Source organism: Homo sapiens, chromosome 3 (genome assembly GCF_000001405.40).
Source record: "Homo sapiens chromosome 3, GRCh38.p14 Primary Assembly".
NCBI lineage: Eukaryota > Metazoa > Chordata > Mammalia > Primates > Hominidae > Homo > Homo sapiens.
Window position 1 is genome coordinate 154,332,537 of NC_000003.12, and position 19,261 is coordinate 154,351,797.

Here is a 19,261-nt window from a genome sequence, read left to right on the forward strand (position 1 = left end):
GAAAGACTAGTAGATATGATCTTCTTTGTATATTAAACTATGAAAGAGATTGTATAAACTAACATACATTTGGAGCAGTATAGTCTGAACTAGAGTGTTGACGTCACAGATTCAGGGTTAAGACCATACAATTCAAAGTTGGGAAAATGTATCATTGTTCAATTACCGTGTGCAGTGCCTCTGCCTCTGCAGCTTATAAAAATGGGCAGGGAGCGCTATTTACATTCTGTTATGGTATAGTATGTGCTTGTCTAGTTGATTACAGGGCATGTAACAGAGACAGGCTAGCTAGCTCTTCACCATATTTTGGGTTCTTCTTCCTGTACACAGCTAGATATATTTCCTAGTCTTCTCTGGAACCAGCTGTGGTTCTGTATTGAGTTCTATCCAATAGCAGAAGCTGCAATGACTGAGGTGCAGTTCTTCCAAGCCAGTCACACTAAGCACTCCAGTGCAGAATCCTTCATGTCCTTTTCCCATCTGTCAGCTGATGCAGATGAGCATAATGATCATAAGAACCGTACATTAAAAATGTAAAACTACATGAACCTAGGCCCCTTAACCATATCTTAAAGAAGAAAGGCCCTACTGATAAGGAACATTCATTTAACTGCTGCTGCTCTCTGCCTTCCAAATCTTGTACAAATGCCTCTCATTTTTAGATGCGAAACCTGAACTTTGCTGAAAAGAGGGTCTTGGAAATAAAGTTTTCTGTCTTCTAGCCTCTGTGATACATAAAGGAGTTGAGAAACATTGAGATATTGCAGAGTATTGACAGAAAATAAATGAGATAATTGTTTTTCCCTTGAGCTACAGACTTCATAGATAGGCTTTTAAAAAATGTGTAATTTATTTCATGTTACCAAGGAAATCCTCTCCACTTATTGAATCAGAATACAATTATGACGCCATCCCGACTACTACCACCCTAAACTTAACCAACATCATCTCTAGCCTGGACTATTAAAATAGCCTAACTGTTCTTTCTGTGGTGGTCTTTGTGTCTGTACAGTCTTTGACCCTTGCAATAGACAATCATTTTTGAAATGAGATCATGTCACTTTTTTGCTTAGAACCCTCCAATGGTTTTTCACTTCATTTAGAACAAGACTAGATGTTCATACCTGGTCTGCAACGCCAGTTTCCTCCTGCCATTATCTGTTTGCCTTTATCTCCAACCACTCTCTACCTCTCTCACTCAGCTGCATTCACATTGACCTCCTTAATGGTTTCACAGATTACAAAAGGCACACTCCTACCTCTGGATACTTGCTGTTCCCTTTGCTGGGACTATGATTTCCCTAGATAATCACATAGCATGTTTCCTCACTTTATTTGAGACTCTGATGAAATGTTACTTTATCAGTGAAGGCTTTTCTGACTAAATTATTGAAAAAAGCACTCTTCCCATCTTTGTCCCTTTATTCTAATTTTATTCTTTGGCCATTGTTACCTCTGGTCCCTATTTTCTGTCAACACACTTAATACCAGCATACATATATATGTACCACACACTTATCACTACCATATGTATATATGTAAATATATAGTAAAGAACTTAACCTATCCAAAGAGAGGTTTGGCCTTTGTCCTTGGCTTTGGGGGAGGTAATTTCTAAGCCCTTGGAATGTCATAGCCGAAAATAGTATCTTTGTTTGTCTGGGGGCCTTGGACCAGCAGATAGTAACAATGTGTTTTTGAGAGGGGAGTTTTGGGCATTCTGTATCAACTTGGCCTCCTGGAGAGCCAGAAAGAGATATCAGTCATGTGAGTAGTCAACCATGCTTACCCTTGCTCCTACCATGATGCAGCCCCAGGAAGGACTCTGGACACCAAGGTTCAGTTGAGATTTTCTGCTTGGCAGTAGTCTGTGCAAGGTGTCACACATCGTCGCCAAAGAAAGTAATGCCGTCCATGACTCCATGGGGAGAGTACCATAGAAGTTCCACATTTACAACTTTTCCTGGACTTGGCTCTATGACCTCTTCTCTAGGCTGATTTTATTCTGTATCCTTTTGCTGTAATAAACCATAACCATGAGTACACAGTTTTCTATGAATTCTGTGAGTCCTTCTAGTGAATTATTGAAACTAGCAGTGGTTTTGGGAATTCCTTGAATTTGCGATTTGTGTCAGGAGTGAGAGCAATCTTTTGTGGACTGTGTTCTCTGACTTTGTGGTTGTCTCAAACTCACAGTAAATGTAAAAACATATATTTGTTTTGTTTGAGTTTTGTTCAAAAGTTATAAAACCAAGTATCTAGAACAATTTTTAGTATGTAGTAGTCATTTATTAAATATTAGAATGAAGAAATGAATGAAGGTAGCTGAAAAGTATAAGAAATTAAGAGAAAATCGATTTGTAAAATCCAATATTATAGAACCACATCAAGAAAAGCTTCCAAAAAATGCATAACTAAGACTCTTTTATTATATTTTTAAGTAATATTGTGCCATTTGCTATCTTCAAAGAGTTGCCTCTGTCAGTCACAACTCTCAGAAGTCTTAGGGATTATATATTAGGTGTTTATACTATTTGGGAGTCTCGGGGATTACGTGTTTGCAGTTTATAGGAGTCACCACCAGATGGTGATATTTTTATTAGGTAATAAGTTTTTGCCTTCAGATACATCAATTTATAGAGAAAAGAGAAAACTATACAAAATATAGTATTTATTAATAAGAAGAACAATATAACTATACAAGGGTAAGGTATTTGGCTATATCACAAGATATCTAGAAAGGTATTTCCTCTACTAGAAACACACTTTTATAATCAATCACTCTAAAGAGTAAGCAGACTTAAGTAAACTTATGTAGTTTAACCTTCTCCTCCCTTAACAAGGATTTGGAGCGTCATTCATGCTTAGGCACAGCTCTAGTAGATTTTTCTTGTATATTCAGCTATTGTTGGCTTGGAGTTTGAAGTGTTACAGGTTAGTAATATGGTGCTGATTAGCCTTTCAAACTAAGACTTTGGGCTAAATAATACTGGTGTTGTTTCAATGCAGCAGAATTTTTATGTGCATCCATTATACAGTTAATTCAACAACCAAGGGCAATTAAATGGGAATATCCTAATTATTTTTCCAATTCCCCCAGTTTAAGCCCTTGTCCAGTTAAAATAAAATGAGACGGAAAATGGGTATTATTGTCTTCTATCTATTTCTTAATGCTCTTTAAACCTTGATTTCTGTTATAATCTCCATCCCATTCAAATTGCTGTGCAGTTATAAAGAATTTGTTTGCCTTCAAATCTTTGCTATTTTCTTCAGCTTTATTATGATCCTGTGTCTAATTTCCTTTTTGCCTGAAATTGCATTTTAAAGCAGCAATATCACCTTTCTCTTTCAGAAAATTATACATCTAAGTTTAAGATATCAAAGCCTATCTTCTACAAAGCATTATGAGAATATTCAATTCAATTTTTCTTTTATAAAGACATTTAATGCTACTGATTTATAATATCTGATTTATCTGTCCATTTGTCACTGTGTTAAAATAGCTGTTAATATTGGTGATACAGTCTTTTAAAATAAAATATATTTGTAACGAGAATACATTTGACTTTGAATTTATATGTTACACATTATTTGAGGCTTGCTTTACAAACATTATTAGTGGTAATACATATGTTTCCCAAATTTAGATAACTAGATATTGAGAAGTTAAAGATTGAGAAAGTCCATTGAGATAATTATTTTGAAAATGACTCATGCTTGTGGCAACAAAAGATGAAACATTCTGAAAGCCGATGTCAAGTAATTTTGAATTCTAATTCAACCTAATAAAACAGAAACCAAAATAAATCATTCTAAAACACAATTCATTCAATCTGTAAATAAATAAATAAAGTATGTGAGTGATGTGAGGGGCACAAAGTCTAAGACTATGTAAAGTGTCAACTCAGTAACTTTGGAAAATAAACTTTTAGGTAATACATTTCATATATGTTTACAGGAAGGTTAGAATAAAGCAATTTGAAGGAAAATCACTTTATAATTTTTGAAATACATCTTACTATTATTCTGCCAAGGTGATTCCTGCATTTTTGCAATGTAATGCATTCTAGAATTATCTTGAAATGTATACCTTACAATCACTTAATAAAATAGGTTCAACTGTTTCTTTGAGACAACACGTCTTTAGAGAAGAAACAAAAAAGCAGCTAAACTTGATATAATATTTGAAGTAAACTTTTCTATTTCAAGAATGACTAAGAAAGGTTGCCCAATCCTCAGCTTTAAAAACAGATACTTTTGTTTTAGACTTAGAGGATTTTGCTCTGCTGTATCCAGAAGCCTACCATGTTTGGATGTACCTCTCATAACTGAATCTGCCAGTATTTTCTCCCAATTTCCACTCAAGTTAAAAAAAAAAACAATTTTAGGATAAAGTATACAATTACACAATTACAACTTTTTTCCAATAATGTTTGAGTTAAAGATACTTCTAATTCCACCTCTAACACACAATATATTTGTTTTATGGGACAGTCTTGACATACTGAAAAGATGAAAGGAAAACTGTTATAGGTAAGAAAAAAAGAAAAAACAGTAAACAATTTATATTTGGTAGAAATGAAGGAAACAACTATTTATAGACTAGGAACCTGCGTGTTTCTCAGTTGGAAGCTAATTTTTCATTTTACAGAAGAATGTAAAGCTAAAGCAGTAAGTGTAATAAGCTTGTTTTGCTAGCCACATTTAGGCAAGTTCCTTCAAATATAATTTGGGGTTTTGTTACATTTCTTCCATTCCCAGAATTCCTCTTTTTTCCCCTTTGCAGTAAAGGCCAACATTGTATATAGAAACATATGCATGGAACAGTATATTCACTGAGTTTATACAATTTTCTGTTTACTAGGAAGTTGACAAGCAAAAACATTGGTAAACTAGGCCAAGATTTGATTTAGAAAATATTTTTTAGAAGTCAGATAAGAAGTAAAATCTTTTCATTACCACAGTGTGTGATCTTTAGGTAACACATCAAATGCACTTAAGTGTTTACACTAGTTCCAGTTGTTCCCACAAAAAAATTAACTATTAAATCAGTAAAACTAATGTAAGCCAACAAATAAAAGGAAATCAGTCTCATAACAAAGGTGTTAGTTTCACAGTTGACGTTGCAGATCCATTCTTGCTCCTGTTAGACCAAATACCCACTAACTACCCTTGCTTTCTTCCTCTCTTTTTCTGTAAGCTTTATTTAACAACTGGATTTCCTCCTGGTAGCCATCCCTCTCTTGATGCTGCCTTTTACTGTTCTGCCTGTGTGCTTCTACTGTGTCTGGAATGGAGATATTAATATCACCATCAGGATTACTGGTGGGCAAAAAGAGGGAGTATGAGGCTGTTTCCCCTAGGTCACATGAAACAAATCTGTTTTCTTTCCTGGAGTAACGTAGGGATGGAGATCTGACTTGTGTGGAGGACTGACTGATGTTACTAATGATTGACACAGTGTCCAAGGCCTCTTCATTATCACAAATTTCAAGAACCTCCAAGTGTATTTTCACACTGGTGTCCACAAACGTGGATGAAGAATCTTCTGAGTTTGGTTCATGGCCAACACTTTTGGATCGATAGACTTCTATTTTCTTAGAGGCTGGAGTTATTTTTTGCCCTTCTGCGCTTACCTCATAGGTAGAAAGAGATAGGGTTTTCCCTGTAGGTGCATGGAGAGACACAGTCCCCTGGAATGCACACAAGGGAATGGCAAGGGCATAACCGGAACGCTGGGGACAAAAACAAAATTGTTATTGTTGAAAGCTAGGTTCTGAGGTTGAGACATTTAGAAATTCATTTTGTTCATCAGAATGATAAAGGTTTTCTATTTCAGATCCATTTCCCTAGAAACATTTTACAGATACGGGATTTAAATACTGCCACCAAAGCACCATACCTCAGTTTCTCCTAGGCCAAATCAGACATTTAATGAGGGTAGTTAGGAACCTTTATTTGAAGATGAGGGGCATATTTCCCCAGTTAAAGGCAAAGGTGTGTACTGATGGGAAGCAATAGATGTTTTCAAAGGCAGAATTTGAACATAAAATTGAATGCATATTTACAATCTGAAATTACTTTTATATTTTTGTTACATACTCAGTTACATTAAAACGTTTGCAAAAGTTGGAAGAAATGTAGACTGTGTTATCAACATGAACTTTTTTTTTCTGTTTAGTATGCCAAAGTAAATGATAATTGTGAAACGGTGGCTTAAGGACAAAAGATACTTCAACTGTTAGAGTTGAGCATACATAACAGGAACCGAATGTCACCAGAACTATGCTACAAAGAGCGTACTTTTCCACAGAGAAATCAGTCATTAAAGTAAACCCAATAATAAAGAATACTATTCCACCTCTTTCAAAAACTTGCCTAAAAGGGTAAACATTTTCTATTATGCTTTATGTATTAAGATTTTTTTAAAACTGTACTTACCACTGAGAGGTGCTTCAGAAATGAAGAAAATAAGATTGATTCTTAAAATAGTCTGTACTTTTTATTGCTGATTCATGTCTTCATACTTTCAACTGACATGTTTTGATTTTTGATTATGTGTTAGTCCCAGAAGATGATAATGTACCAAACTTCTAGAGCAGTAATTCTCAAAACTGAGTTTCCAACCCAGCATCGTCAGCAGCTTCTGGTAACTTGTCAGAAATACAGGTTTTTAGCATTATCCCAGACCTACTCAATTAGGTCTCAACCCAGGTACAGGGTCAAGCAATCTGTATTTTAACAAGCCTTTCCGGTGATTCTGTTGCATAGTAAAGTTTGGGATCCATTGCTCTAACTAAAGAAATGTTGTAGTCCAGAAAAAAAGGGGTAATGGTGGAGATAAACAGACACTTTTTATATAAGTGCTTACCACTTGTAAAACCTACAGTTACTAACTGGACTGGCCTAAATGTGTCTGTCCACCTGGGGAATTGGCATGGGAGATAATGGTATTTTTCCAATTTAGGATGACCAGCTTTCTCAATTTTCCTGGGACTGTCCCATATTTAGCACTGAAATTTCTGCATCCCAGGAAATCCCTCAGTCTTAGTTAGACAAATGGGCAGGAGTCGGGGCAGTGGGAGATTGATCACCCTACTTGCTATGGGCATTTTCAATCTGGACCCAACAGTGGCTAGACGAAGACAGGTTCTCACTATTGGAGAACAGTTTAGATTATTTTCTGTTTAAAGAAGTTTGAAAAAGAATGAGTTTCATTGGGGGTGCCTTCATGCTCTACTTCTTTTTTTTTTTTTTTTTTTTTTTTTTTTGAGACGAAGTCTCCCTCTGTCGCCCAGGCTGGAATGCAGTGGCTCGATCTCGGTTCACTGCAAGCTCTGCCTCCTGAGTTCGTGCCATTCTCCTGCCTCAGCCTCCCGAGTAGCTGGGACTACAGGCACCCACCACCACCCCCGCCTAATTTTTTTGTATTTTTTTATTAGAGACGGGGTTTCACTGTGTTAGCCAGGATGGTCTCGATCTCCTGACCTTGTGATCCTCCCGCCTCGGCCTCCCAATGTGCTGGGATTACAGGCATGAGCCACCGTGCCCGGCCCACGCTCTACTTCTTGAATTGAGAGACTAGAAAAAAATACAGTCTGGGCTGTGTGAGACATATGATCATTCTTTCCTGGTTATTCTCTGTGGAGTGGTCTTGAATTCTCTTTACTCATAAGGAGACCTAGGAACCTAACTGTAGAGCCTTGCACGATAAAGTTTTGGAAATTTTGAAAATTTACACTATAATGTTCAGTCCAGCCGTCTGCCAAGGCAAAGAACTTCATTGACTCTACATGTGTAATGCTGGCTGAAATAAGTGAGACAGAGGGACCACACAGGTTCATCACAGCATCAGACTACTATTAATATTTGAGTGGTGGCAACTTTTGGCAAAAGAGAAGTAGGTTTCATTCCTATTATTATACATCCACTTATTAAACATTTGCTAAGTAAGGATGTACATGATTCTGAGCTTGCATTGGATGTATGGAGATGCTATCTCTTAAGACCCCACAGATGATTGGATGTAAATAAACAAAATAAAAATTTTAGTTCTAAATGTAGTAATTGAGAGATAGTTACCAAGTTCTATAAGGTCCAAGGAATGACTATCTCGGGTAGGGAGATGTCATATTGTGGAGGGGGGACATGTGAAATTGATCTTAAAAATCAAGAAAAGATTTAGTTTTGTTTGTTTGTTTTTGAGACAGAGTCTTGCTCTGTTACCCAGGCTGGAGCGCAATGGCGCCGTCTCGGCTCACTGCAACCTCCACCTCCTGGGTTCAAGTGATTCTCCTGCCTCAGCCTCCTGAGTAGCTGAGACTACAGGTGCGTGCCACCACACCTGGCTAGTTTCTGTATTTTTAGTAGAGACAGGGTTTCACTATGTTGGCCAGGCTGGTCTCGAACTCCTGACCTCATGAACTCCCTGCCTCGGCCTCCCAAAGGGCTGGGATTACAGGCGTGAGCCATCGTGCCCGGCCAAGATTTACAATTTTAAAACCTTGCTTTCTGAGTGATAAACCACAAGTTAAAGGGTTATATTGAAAACTTTCCATCCTGAGAAAACATTTTTGTTATCAAAGACTGAAACAATAGACCCAGGCTGGGGTGCCTAACTTAGATGGGGTGAGAAAAAAGAAGACTTGAGAATCCTTCCCAGAGCAGGGCTCAGTTTTTATAGATAATATCCATATTATTGTCTAACATTGTTCTGGAGGTCCTAGCTGTGCAAAAAATCAAGAAAAAAATAAGACATATATATATATATATATATATATATATATATATATATATATATATATAAAATGAGTAGGAAGAGACATTATTGTAATTTACAGATGAAAATATTATCTTCCTAGAAAATTCTAAAGAAGTAATCTAAAAAAATTAGAGAGTTTAGTAAGGTGGCTGAATTTTAGGTAAAAATGTTAAGAAATCAATAGCTATTGCCAATCAAAAATAATTTTTAAAAGGTACCATCCAAAATAGCAACAATACTATAGAAGTATGTGAGACCTTATGAAGAAAAAACAGCAATAATAAAAGAAGTCTTGAAAAAGTAAGAGAGAAAGAATAATGTTTCTGCATGAGAAAACTATTTCGCAACTATGGCAGTTTTCTTTTAATTTATTGATTTAATACAATATTAATAAAAGTTCCACTGAAATTTTATTTTGAAAGTTTCTCTTAAGATATAGTTGCAGGGGTAAATGCTTGCAGATAACCAAGAAAACTTGGAAACAAACAACAAGGTGGATTCCCAAGTATAATATGTAGCTACAGCAATTAATACAGGGTGTTCATTGCAAGATTTGGTAAATCCATGAAGGAAGACAGCCAGCCAAGAAAGTAGATATAGTATACCCTGAAGATGGCATTTCAAAATAAGCAGGGTAATTATACTTTAAAAACAAACAAACAAAAAACAGAATGAGTTAATCAAATAAACTTCTTACATATTATTAGTTATCCATTACAAAATTAAGTTAGATACCTATCTCATGTTACATGCAAAAATTTTAAAAAATTCTTAATAATTCTTTTAAAGTGCTGAGTGAATAAGACCTTTCCAAATCTGGAATGAAAACTGGAAACCACAAAGTAAAAGATGGACAGATTTGATTGCAAAAAACTTTGAAATGTCTGTATAGAAATATATACTATAAACAAAAGTGAAAGACTAAAGGCAGCTCAGAAGGATATATTTGTAGTCTATATAAAACAAAGTTTAATAGTGATGCTATGGAGAATTCTTCTCAACCAGTAAGATAAACAATCTAGCAGAAAAATGGAAAAGGGAAGTGGGCAAAACAATTAAAGAAAAATGGAGAGTAAACACATAAAAATATGTGCAATTTGACCAATTATTTTATTTTATTTTTTATTGAGAGAGTCTTGCTCTGTTACCCAGGCTGGAGTGCAGTGGTACATGCGATCTCAGATCACTGAAACCTCCACCTCCCAAGTTCAAGTGATTCTTGTGCCTCAGCCTCTCAAGTAGCTGGGATTAAAGGCGTACCCCACCAGGACTGGCTCATTTTTGTGTTTTTAGTAGAGACAGGGTTTTGCCATGTTGGCCAGGCTGGTCTTGAACTCCTGACCTCAGGTGATTCACCCTCCTCAGCCTCCCAAAGTGCTAGGATTACAGCCATGGCCACCATGCCTGGCCTTACAAATAATTTTAAAAGTAAGTAAAAACAATGGTCATTTTAGCTTTTCAGAATGCCCTCCATAAAACATAAACAGAAAAAAACCCCAGCAGAAATAAAAAGATTGATGCCATCTTTAGAGTATATTTTGATTGTGTATTTGACTATAAAATAAAAACTACGTATACTTACCATTGATCCTATGTCTGTGAGTCGGTTCCTCCAAATACCAGAACATCATAATGTTTGTTTATTTCAGCACTTTTGTAAGCCCCAAATTAGAAACAATCTAAAGATCTACATTTAGAAAATAGTTTAATAAATTGTGATACAGTTATGTTCTGAAAAGCTATCTTGAATAGATGAGGTAAGGCTGTAAGTTCTGCCTGGGTAAAATAATTTCCATATATTGTAAGATATAAAAGCAAGCAAATTGCAAAACAATGTGTACAGTATGATCTAGTTTTCTTGTTAAAAATAGTCATGAGAAATCAGCCCAGAAAATTAAGCATGTATAGGAATGAAAATAGATTCACAGACATACAAGCATACCTGTATATGACAGTCATAGAAAAAGGTTTGAGAGGCTACACACCAAGAATTTCTTCCTCTGGGAGTGAATAGTGGCTTGGCATTTCACTTTCGGTATTTCTATATTTCTAAATTATTTTCTTATTATCATGATTACTCTTTTGATCAAGGAAGTTTATTAGGTAGTGAGGGAGGCAGAGATTACAAAATATTACTAGAAAGGCATCCAGGAGGTAGGGGTAGGGTACTGAGTGTGTGTTGCTGATGCTGGATGCTGGTAGTTAGCCTCAGCGTTCATCATCTGGAGTATGTGTTGGGGTTTGTTCTATTTTTAGGTTAAGAGACAGGAGACAAGTTGGGTAGAGGGCACTATTTCAAAAATTTGCCCTAATGGTTTGGTTGACTAGAATGAGAGTCTCAACTGGGGTATAGCTAATTTCCCATTCACATTTGAAAAGGGTGGAGAGGCTGGGTGCGACTGTTCATCCCTGTAATCCCTTTGTCAGTCAGCACTTTGGGAGACTGAAGAAGTAGAATCACGTGAGCCCAGAAATTTGAGACAAGCCTGAGCAACATAGAGGGACCCTGTCTCTAAAAAAATTCTTTAAATTAGGTGGGCATGGTAGTGTGTGTTTCTGTAGTGCCAGCTACTGCGGAGGCTGAGGTGGGAGCATCACTTGAGCCCGGGAGATAGAGGCTGCAGTGAGCCATGATCACGCCACTGCATTCCAACCCGGGTGACAGTGAGACCTTGTCCCCACCGCCCCCCCAAAAAAAAAGAAAGAAAAAGAAAAAATGTAGAGAATGGCACTCATGACTGGAAAGAAATATTTTAAAATTATCTGAAAGGAAAAGTGATTAAATAATCCTATGGTTCTAGTAAGACAAATATTTATAGCACTCTCAAAGAGTCCACTGTCTGTAATAAGTCAGATTATCCTCACGAATTTTACTAGAAAACTGTTATAAACATTTGAGTCCAACAAGCTGTCAATGTGAAGTTCAAATAAAGAGTCTCATCTCAGGAAACAATAACAACAAACAAGAAAATACTATACAACTTGAGTCACAAACCACAGTGTAGCCAACAGATTTGAAAATCATTCAAAAAGTTTAAGGACAACTTCAAAAAGAGACTTCAAAAGTAAAAGGCAATAGTATCTTAACAGAAAATGAACATTAATTGAAAGAAGTAGAATATGATACAAAAACTGTTAATATTGGTTTAATTTATGTTCATGTTTGTAATGAGTTGAATAGCATCCCCCTCCAAATTCGTGTCCCCCTGTAAACTGTGAATATGACCTTATTTGGAAATAGGGTTTTTGCAGGTGTAAGCAAGTTGTATGAGGTCATACCGAATGAAGATGGGCCTTATCCAATGACTCTTATCCTTCTAAGAAGAGGGAAATTTGGACGCAGATGTACCTGGGGTAAGACAGTCATGTGAAGATGCAGATAACAATTGGAGTTATGCTGTCACCAGTCAAGGAACACCAAGGATTGCTGGGAGCCACCAGAAGCTAGGGAGAGGCAAGAAAGGATCCTCCCCAAGAGCTTATAGAGGGAGCATGGTCTTCCCAACACCATATTTCAGACTTCTGGTTTCTAGAAATGCGAGACAACAAATTTTTGTTGTTTTCAACCATCTTAATTTGTGATAGTTTGTTACAGCAGCCTTGGGAAACTAATTCAATTTTGTATGCAAACAGTACAAAAATACATTTCGAAAAAAACTTATTTTTAAAAGTCCTGCAACAGACCATCTTTTTCTGGACACTGGGGCTATGTGGCCCTTTCTGTCAAATCCACATGTGATGTAATCTCTTCAAAAGAAGTGAACATTCTCTTGTTGATCTTTTTCTTCTCTGCTACCTATAACAGTGTCTGGCATATGACAGGCCCTCAAAAATATTTGTTGAATGGACAAACAAAAGTGTGCATAAATTGGCAACACTGACCTTATGTCCTTTTCAGATTTCATATTTTAACTTTTCGCACAAAAAATAGGATCATCTTTTAAAACATTGCTGTTTAAAATTTATACTTAAACAGCCTTATATAATAAATGATGATAGTTACAAGTACATCAGAAGGTCATATTAGAATAGATTGTTTTTATGAAAATAAAATATTATGGCACTGAATTTTATGTGAAAGTTATTGAATGACAAAGAATGATACATTCAGAGAGCATAAAACGATTCCTTTTGTAATCTCTGCTTTCTTTTCATTTAAAAGTCTATGAATTAGCATATGCTGTCAGGAATAATGATAATCCATTATTGCTATATTCTTGAGTGTAGGTGGCAAGGAGCTTTTTATTTGGTAATAAAGAGCAGTCTTTAAGCCACACAAATGCTCCAGGAGAAGACAGCATGCCATGTAAACACACTAGCACACATAATCTCCTGTGATAATTGATTCAGAGTTACTGACCTTCGGCACATTGAATGTTTTGATTTCTTCACTACGAGCCTCCAGGTGAATCCAGGGTGAAATTATAATATAAAAAGAGTTGCAGCAAAATTTTCTCCTAAGAAGGTGAAGTAGTCTGTTGATAATCTGAATCATTCAATTTTAGAAAGACATTATATAGCATCTAGGATCATGGCACTTATCAGAAACCATGGCATTTTAATTTCTTATTTTATGAAAAAAGAACTCATAGCCAGAGAGGTCAAACACTTGCCCAGGGTCACATAGGTAGTATCAGGACTGGCATCAGGACTCAGGTTTCTTAACTCTCAGTTAAGTGCTCTTTCTATTATTTGTATCATGTTGTTATTTTAAAAGAAATCTGCTCTAGCTAAGAGTCAGTTGTTGGTTTTCTGCCCTAGAAGGTAGAATTCTGTCACTAACTCATGAGTAACCCAAATGACTGACAATTTTAATCCCAATTAAACTCATATAGATGATCGTTAGGTAATTTAGGTGACTTTAGGCCTCTTAAAGTACAGACATTGAGGAATTTAAGTGGAACACGACCATTTAAGATGGTTAGTAGAGATAAGGACATTGAGAGGGAAAAAATAGCACTAAGAACAAGAACTTTGTGAGAAAAACAAAAGTAGATTTTTAATAATTTACTTTTTGGAATTTATTTTTTATTCAATATGCAAAACTATGTCGTTACTGTTTTCACATATTCAACTCGCAGAATATACCTTGTGTCATTCTGTCATTTTCATTTAAATGTTTGATGAACACAAATTAGAGAAAACACAAGAATTCCTCAAGGAAAGAGAGAACAAGGGCAAGAAAATGAGGGCCTTCATCAAGGGTCTGTAAGAGGCATGAAAAGTGCTAAGAATTTTAACACATTTCACATTTAATCCTCAAAGGCCTTCAAGCTACAAATTAAGGTTTTTCTTTTCTTTTCTTTTTCTTTTTTTTTTTTGAGATGGAATGTCACTCTGTCACCCAGGCTGGAGTGAGTGGCACAATCTTGGCTCACTGCAATCTCTGCCTCTTTCAAGTGATTCTCATGCCTCAGCCTCCCGAGTAGCTAGTGTTACAGGTGTGCCCCACCATGCCTGGCTAAATTTTTGTATTTTTAGTAGATAAAGGGTTTTGTCATGTTGGCCAGGCTGGTCTTGAGCTCCTGACCTCAGGTAATCTGCTCGCCTTGGCCTCCCACAGTGCTAGGATTAAAGGCATGAGCCACAGCATCTGGCCAGCTTGTTGTTTTTAATGATGAAAACTCTAACAACTGAGTAACAGATTTTTAGGATTGATATCCATCCCCCAAAATATTTACTGATCCTGCTGAATAAGAGCCTTGTATCAACCTTCTTCCTAAGCACTGTCTATGCACTTTCTTATTTAATATTCACAACAACCTTATAAAATAGAGATAGTAATTATCCTGAACTCATAGATGATATAATTGAGTCATAGGGAGGTAATAAGGGAAGGTAATGAATATATATGAAGTGTGTACTATATGCTGGCATTGCACTTGGCATTTTACATGTTGTATTAGCTGGTTCCCATGCTGCTAATAAAGACACACACGAGGCTAGGTAATTTATAAAAGAAAGAGATTTAATTGACTCACAGTTCAGCATGGCTGGGGAGGCCTCAGGAAACTTAGAATCATGACGGAAGAGGACACAAGCACATCCCTCGTCACATAGTGGCAGCAAGAAGTGCTGAGCAAAAGGGGGAAAAGCCCCTTATAAAATCATCAGATCTCATGAGAATCCACTCACTATGATGAGAACAGCAGCATGGGGGTAACTGCCCCCATGATTCAATTACCTCACACCGGGTTCCTCCCATGATGTGTGGGGATTATGGGAACTACAATTCAAGATGAGATTTAGGTGGGGACACCGCCAAACCATATTACATGTGAAATCTACTACATGCGAAATATATAATATAATCACACGGGTGGTAAAATTATTTACATTTTACAGACAAACAAATTTATATGTGAAGACATTAACTAACTTGCCCAGGTAATATAGGAAGGTAAAGTTTTAACTGTGATCTAAATTCAGCTCACATTCCAAATCCTTTCCATGATGCCACTGAGGATCTAAGATGAATTGGAGAAAGGAGAGTGTGGTGGAAGGGAGCACCAATAGAAGGTTTTTAAAATCATACGTGGAAAGAAAAAACAAGATCTGAACTTCAGTAGGTAGCAAAAATGGCAAACGTGGGATGGACTATTGAAGTATTGCAAAGGCAAAACTATTGAGGCTGTGGAGGGTAGTGGTGAAGTACTGCTGTGGAGTCGCATACACCTGAGTCACTATCTCTATAATCCTTACTTCTGTAAGCCTCAGTTGTCTCACTTGCAAAATATAAAGATTAAATGAGTTAATGCGTGTGAAATGATTAGGGGAGTGCCTCATACATAGTAAGTGCTCCATAAATGTTAGTTATTATTGGAAGCTGAGTAAGAGAGAGGAATCCAAGATGTTTTTAAGCTTTCTAATCCTAGTGTCTAGTGCCAGTAGTTGAGACTAGGAAGAGGTAGATAATAAAACTTGATTTCTACAATCTTTATCTCTGAATTAGACAGCAGATTCCTCTGCAGTAGTTTATTCTTGTAGTCTAAATAAACCAATTAAAAGCCAGACATTGGCAGAATGGATTAAAAACACAACTCAGTTATATATTGTCTATAAGAAACTCATTTCAAATATAATAATATAAGCAGGTCGAAAGTAAAAAAAGAAGATATATCATGCAAACATCAATCAAAGGGAAAACAAGAGTGGCTATAGTGATATCACATAAAATAGATTTCAGACAAAAGAAAGTTATCAGAGACAGGGAAAATTACTATATAATAATAAAGTGATCCATCCACTTAGAAGACATAGCAATCCTAAATATGTATAGAGCAAGCAACAGAACTGTTAAATATATAAAGCCAAACTGATAGAACTGAAAGGAGAAATAGTCAAATTTACAAATACTGTTGGAGACTTCAACCCCTCTCTCGCAACAATCCATAGGATAACTAGAAAGAAAATCAACAAGAGTGTAGAAGAGCATCATTAATCAATAAGATCTAATCAACATTTGTAGAAAATGTTATAGATAGAAAATTTTTATTTATAGGACACTCCATCCAACAACAACAGAATACACATTATTTTCAAGTGCCCATGAACCATATACTGAGATAGACCCTATCTAAGCCATAAGACAAACCCTAGGGAATTTAAAGGAAACACAATTAAACAGTATGTTCTCTGACCACAACAGAAATAAGGTAGAAATAAATAGCAGAAAGATAGCAAGAGAATCTCCAAGCCCTTGGAAACTAAACACTTCTAAATCATCTAAGAGTTAAAAAGGTAGTCTTGAGGGAAATAAAAAAAAAAGTGAATGAAAATGAAAATACAACATATTGAAATTGGTGCTAGGGAAGATCTGAGAGAGAAATTTAAAGCACTAAATGCATACATTAGAAAAGAGTAATAGTCTTAAACCAATAGTCTAGCCTCCCACCTTGATAATCTGGAAAAAGAAGAGCAAAATAAACTGAAAGCAAATATAAAGGAGGAAAATAGATAAAAGCTGATATCAATGACATTGAAAACAGAAAAACAAAGAGGAAATTAATGAAACAAAAAGTTATTTTTTTAACAGATCAATAAAATTGAAAAGCCTCTAGCAGCAGTGACAAAGAGAAGACACAGATTACCAGTATTAGGAATGAAACAGGATATCACTGCAGAGTCTGCAGCCATCGAAAGTACCATAAGGGAGTACTACAAACACCTTTACACATTCAAATTTGACAACTTACATGAAATAGATTGATCCCTTGTAAAACAAACTACTACAATGTGCCAAATGCGAAATAGGTAATTTGAATAGCCCTGTAACTATTAAGATAATTAAACTTGTAGTTTAAAACCTTCAAAAAGAAATCTCTTCAGCCTTATGTTTTCTCTGGAGAACTCTAGCAAATAGTTAAGTAAGGATTAATATAAATTCTGCACAATCTCTTACAGAAAATACAAGACAAAGGAATACTTCTTGATTCATTTTATAAACCTAGTTTTACCCTAATAATCAAACTCTACAGACACTACAAAAAAATAAAACTATAGATTAGTATCACTCATGAATATAGATGCAAGCATCCTTAACAAATATTAGCAAATAGAATTCAGCAATCTATAAAAAGAATTATGTACAATGATCAAGCAGGGTTTCTTTCAGAAATTCAAGGCTGCATCAATATTTATTTCTTTACTTATTTGAGATAGGGTTTTGCACTGTCACCAAGGCTGAGTGCAGTGCTATGCTCACAGCTCACTGTAGCCTCCACCTCTATCTGTACAAAAAATAAAAAAATTTAGCTAGGCATGGTGGTGTGTGCCTGTAATCCCAGCTACTGAGGAGGCTGAGGTGAGAGGATCACTTGAGCCTGGGGATTTGAGGCTACAGTGAGCCATAATCATGCCACTGCACCCAGCCTCAGTGACAGAGTGAAACCCTGTCTCAAAAATAAAAAAGAAAAGAAAAGGAAACAAAAATTGTACAGACCAGAAAGGAAGAAATGAAACTTTTGCAACTTGCAGATGACATGATTGATTTATGTAGAAAATCCCAAGGAATCGACAAAAAATCCTCAAGCTAATGATTGAGCTAAGCAAGGTCACAGGATATAAGATACATGTACAAAATCATTTGTACTTCTATGACTAGCAATGAACTCTTGGACATCAAAATAAAAAATGCAGTACCATTTACAATTGCTAAAAAGGTTAAAGATTTAGATGTAAATCTTATGAAACATGTATAGGACTAATATACTGGAAACTACATGACACTTTAAAAAGTTGACAATCTGAATAAATGAAGAGACATATTGTGTTCATAGACTGGAAGACTTGACAGTAAAGATATCAATTCTGTAGAAATTGATCTATACATTTAATATAATTCCTACAAAAATCCCAGCAAGATATTTTCACAGTTATAGACAAGATCATTCTAAAATTAAAATGAAAAGGTACATGAACCAGAATAGCTAAAATTATTTTGAAAAAATAAATACAGTTGATCTTTGGTATCTGTGGGGGATTGGTTCCAGGACCTCCTGTGGATAGCAAAATCTTCAGATGCTTAAGTCCCTTATATAAAATGGCATAGTATGTGTATATAATCTGTGCACCTCCTCGCATATACTTTAAAATCATCTCTAGATTACTTATAATACCTAATATCATGTAAATGCTATGTCAATAGCTGTTTACTATATTGTTTAGGGAATACTGACAAGAAAAATGTCTGTATGTGTTTAGTACAGGCATAATTTTGTATCTGAATATTTTTGATCCAAAGTTGGCTGAATTCACATATAGGAACCCACAGATACAGAGAGTTGACTGTATAATGGGAGGAATCAGGATATCTAATTTCAATATAGCTATAATAATCAAAATTGAGTTGTTGCTAGAGGGATAGAGACACAGAAAAATGGAACAGAATAGAAAATCCAAATGTAGACTCACTCAAATATACCCAACTGACTTTTTACAAAGGTACAAAAACAATTCAATGGAGGAAAGTTAGCCTTTTCAATTAACAGTGCTAGGGCAATTAGACATCCACATACAAAAAAAAAAAAAAAAAAAAAAAAAAAAAAAATAACCAGCTACATCTGTTTCATAGTTTATTCAAAAATTAACTCAAAATGAATTGTAAACTTAAATGTAAAATGTAAAACTAAAAATTTTATTTGAAAGATATAGGAGAAAATCTTTGAGATCTAAGGCTAGGAAGGGGTTATTAGACTTGACACAAAAATCATGATCCATAAAAGGATATTTGATAAACTGGACTTCATTAAATTAAAAACTTGTTTTGTGCAAATGCAAATTTTGATTCAGGGAGTCTATTGTTGAACCTGAGATTCTGCACTTACTAAAAGTTTTCAGATGATGCTGAAGCTGCTGGTGTAGGAACCATACTTTGAATAGCAAAAGACAGACAATCTGTTTGGCTCCTTACAGTCCTAAAATTACAGGGATAAATAATTTAATGGACAAATAAATTTTGTTATTTTATAGGGTTCACAATTAAGAGAAGTAGAGGAGATA

At 35.6% G+C, this 19,261-nt stretch overlaps 1 protein-coding gene across 1 annotated transcript in view; it reads right to left on the minus strand.

Moving 5' to 3' along the window:
• Nucleotides 1-2,406: 2,406 nt before the first annotated feature.
• Nucleotides 2,407-19,261, minus strand: part of GPR149 (G protein-coupled receptor 149) — a 95,248-nt gene continuing 78,393 nt past the window's right edge. The window contains exon 4 of the mRNA NM_001038705.3: nt 2,407-5,735. Coding sequence (NP_001033794.1) covers nt 5,163-5,735 — 573 coding nt within the window. The 3' untranslated portion in view covers nt 2,407-5,162. The remainder of the gene's footprint in view (nt 5,736-19,261) is intronic.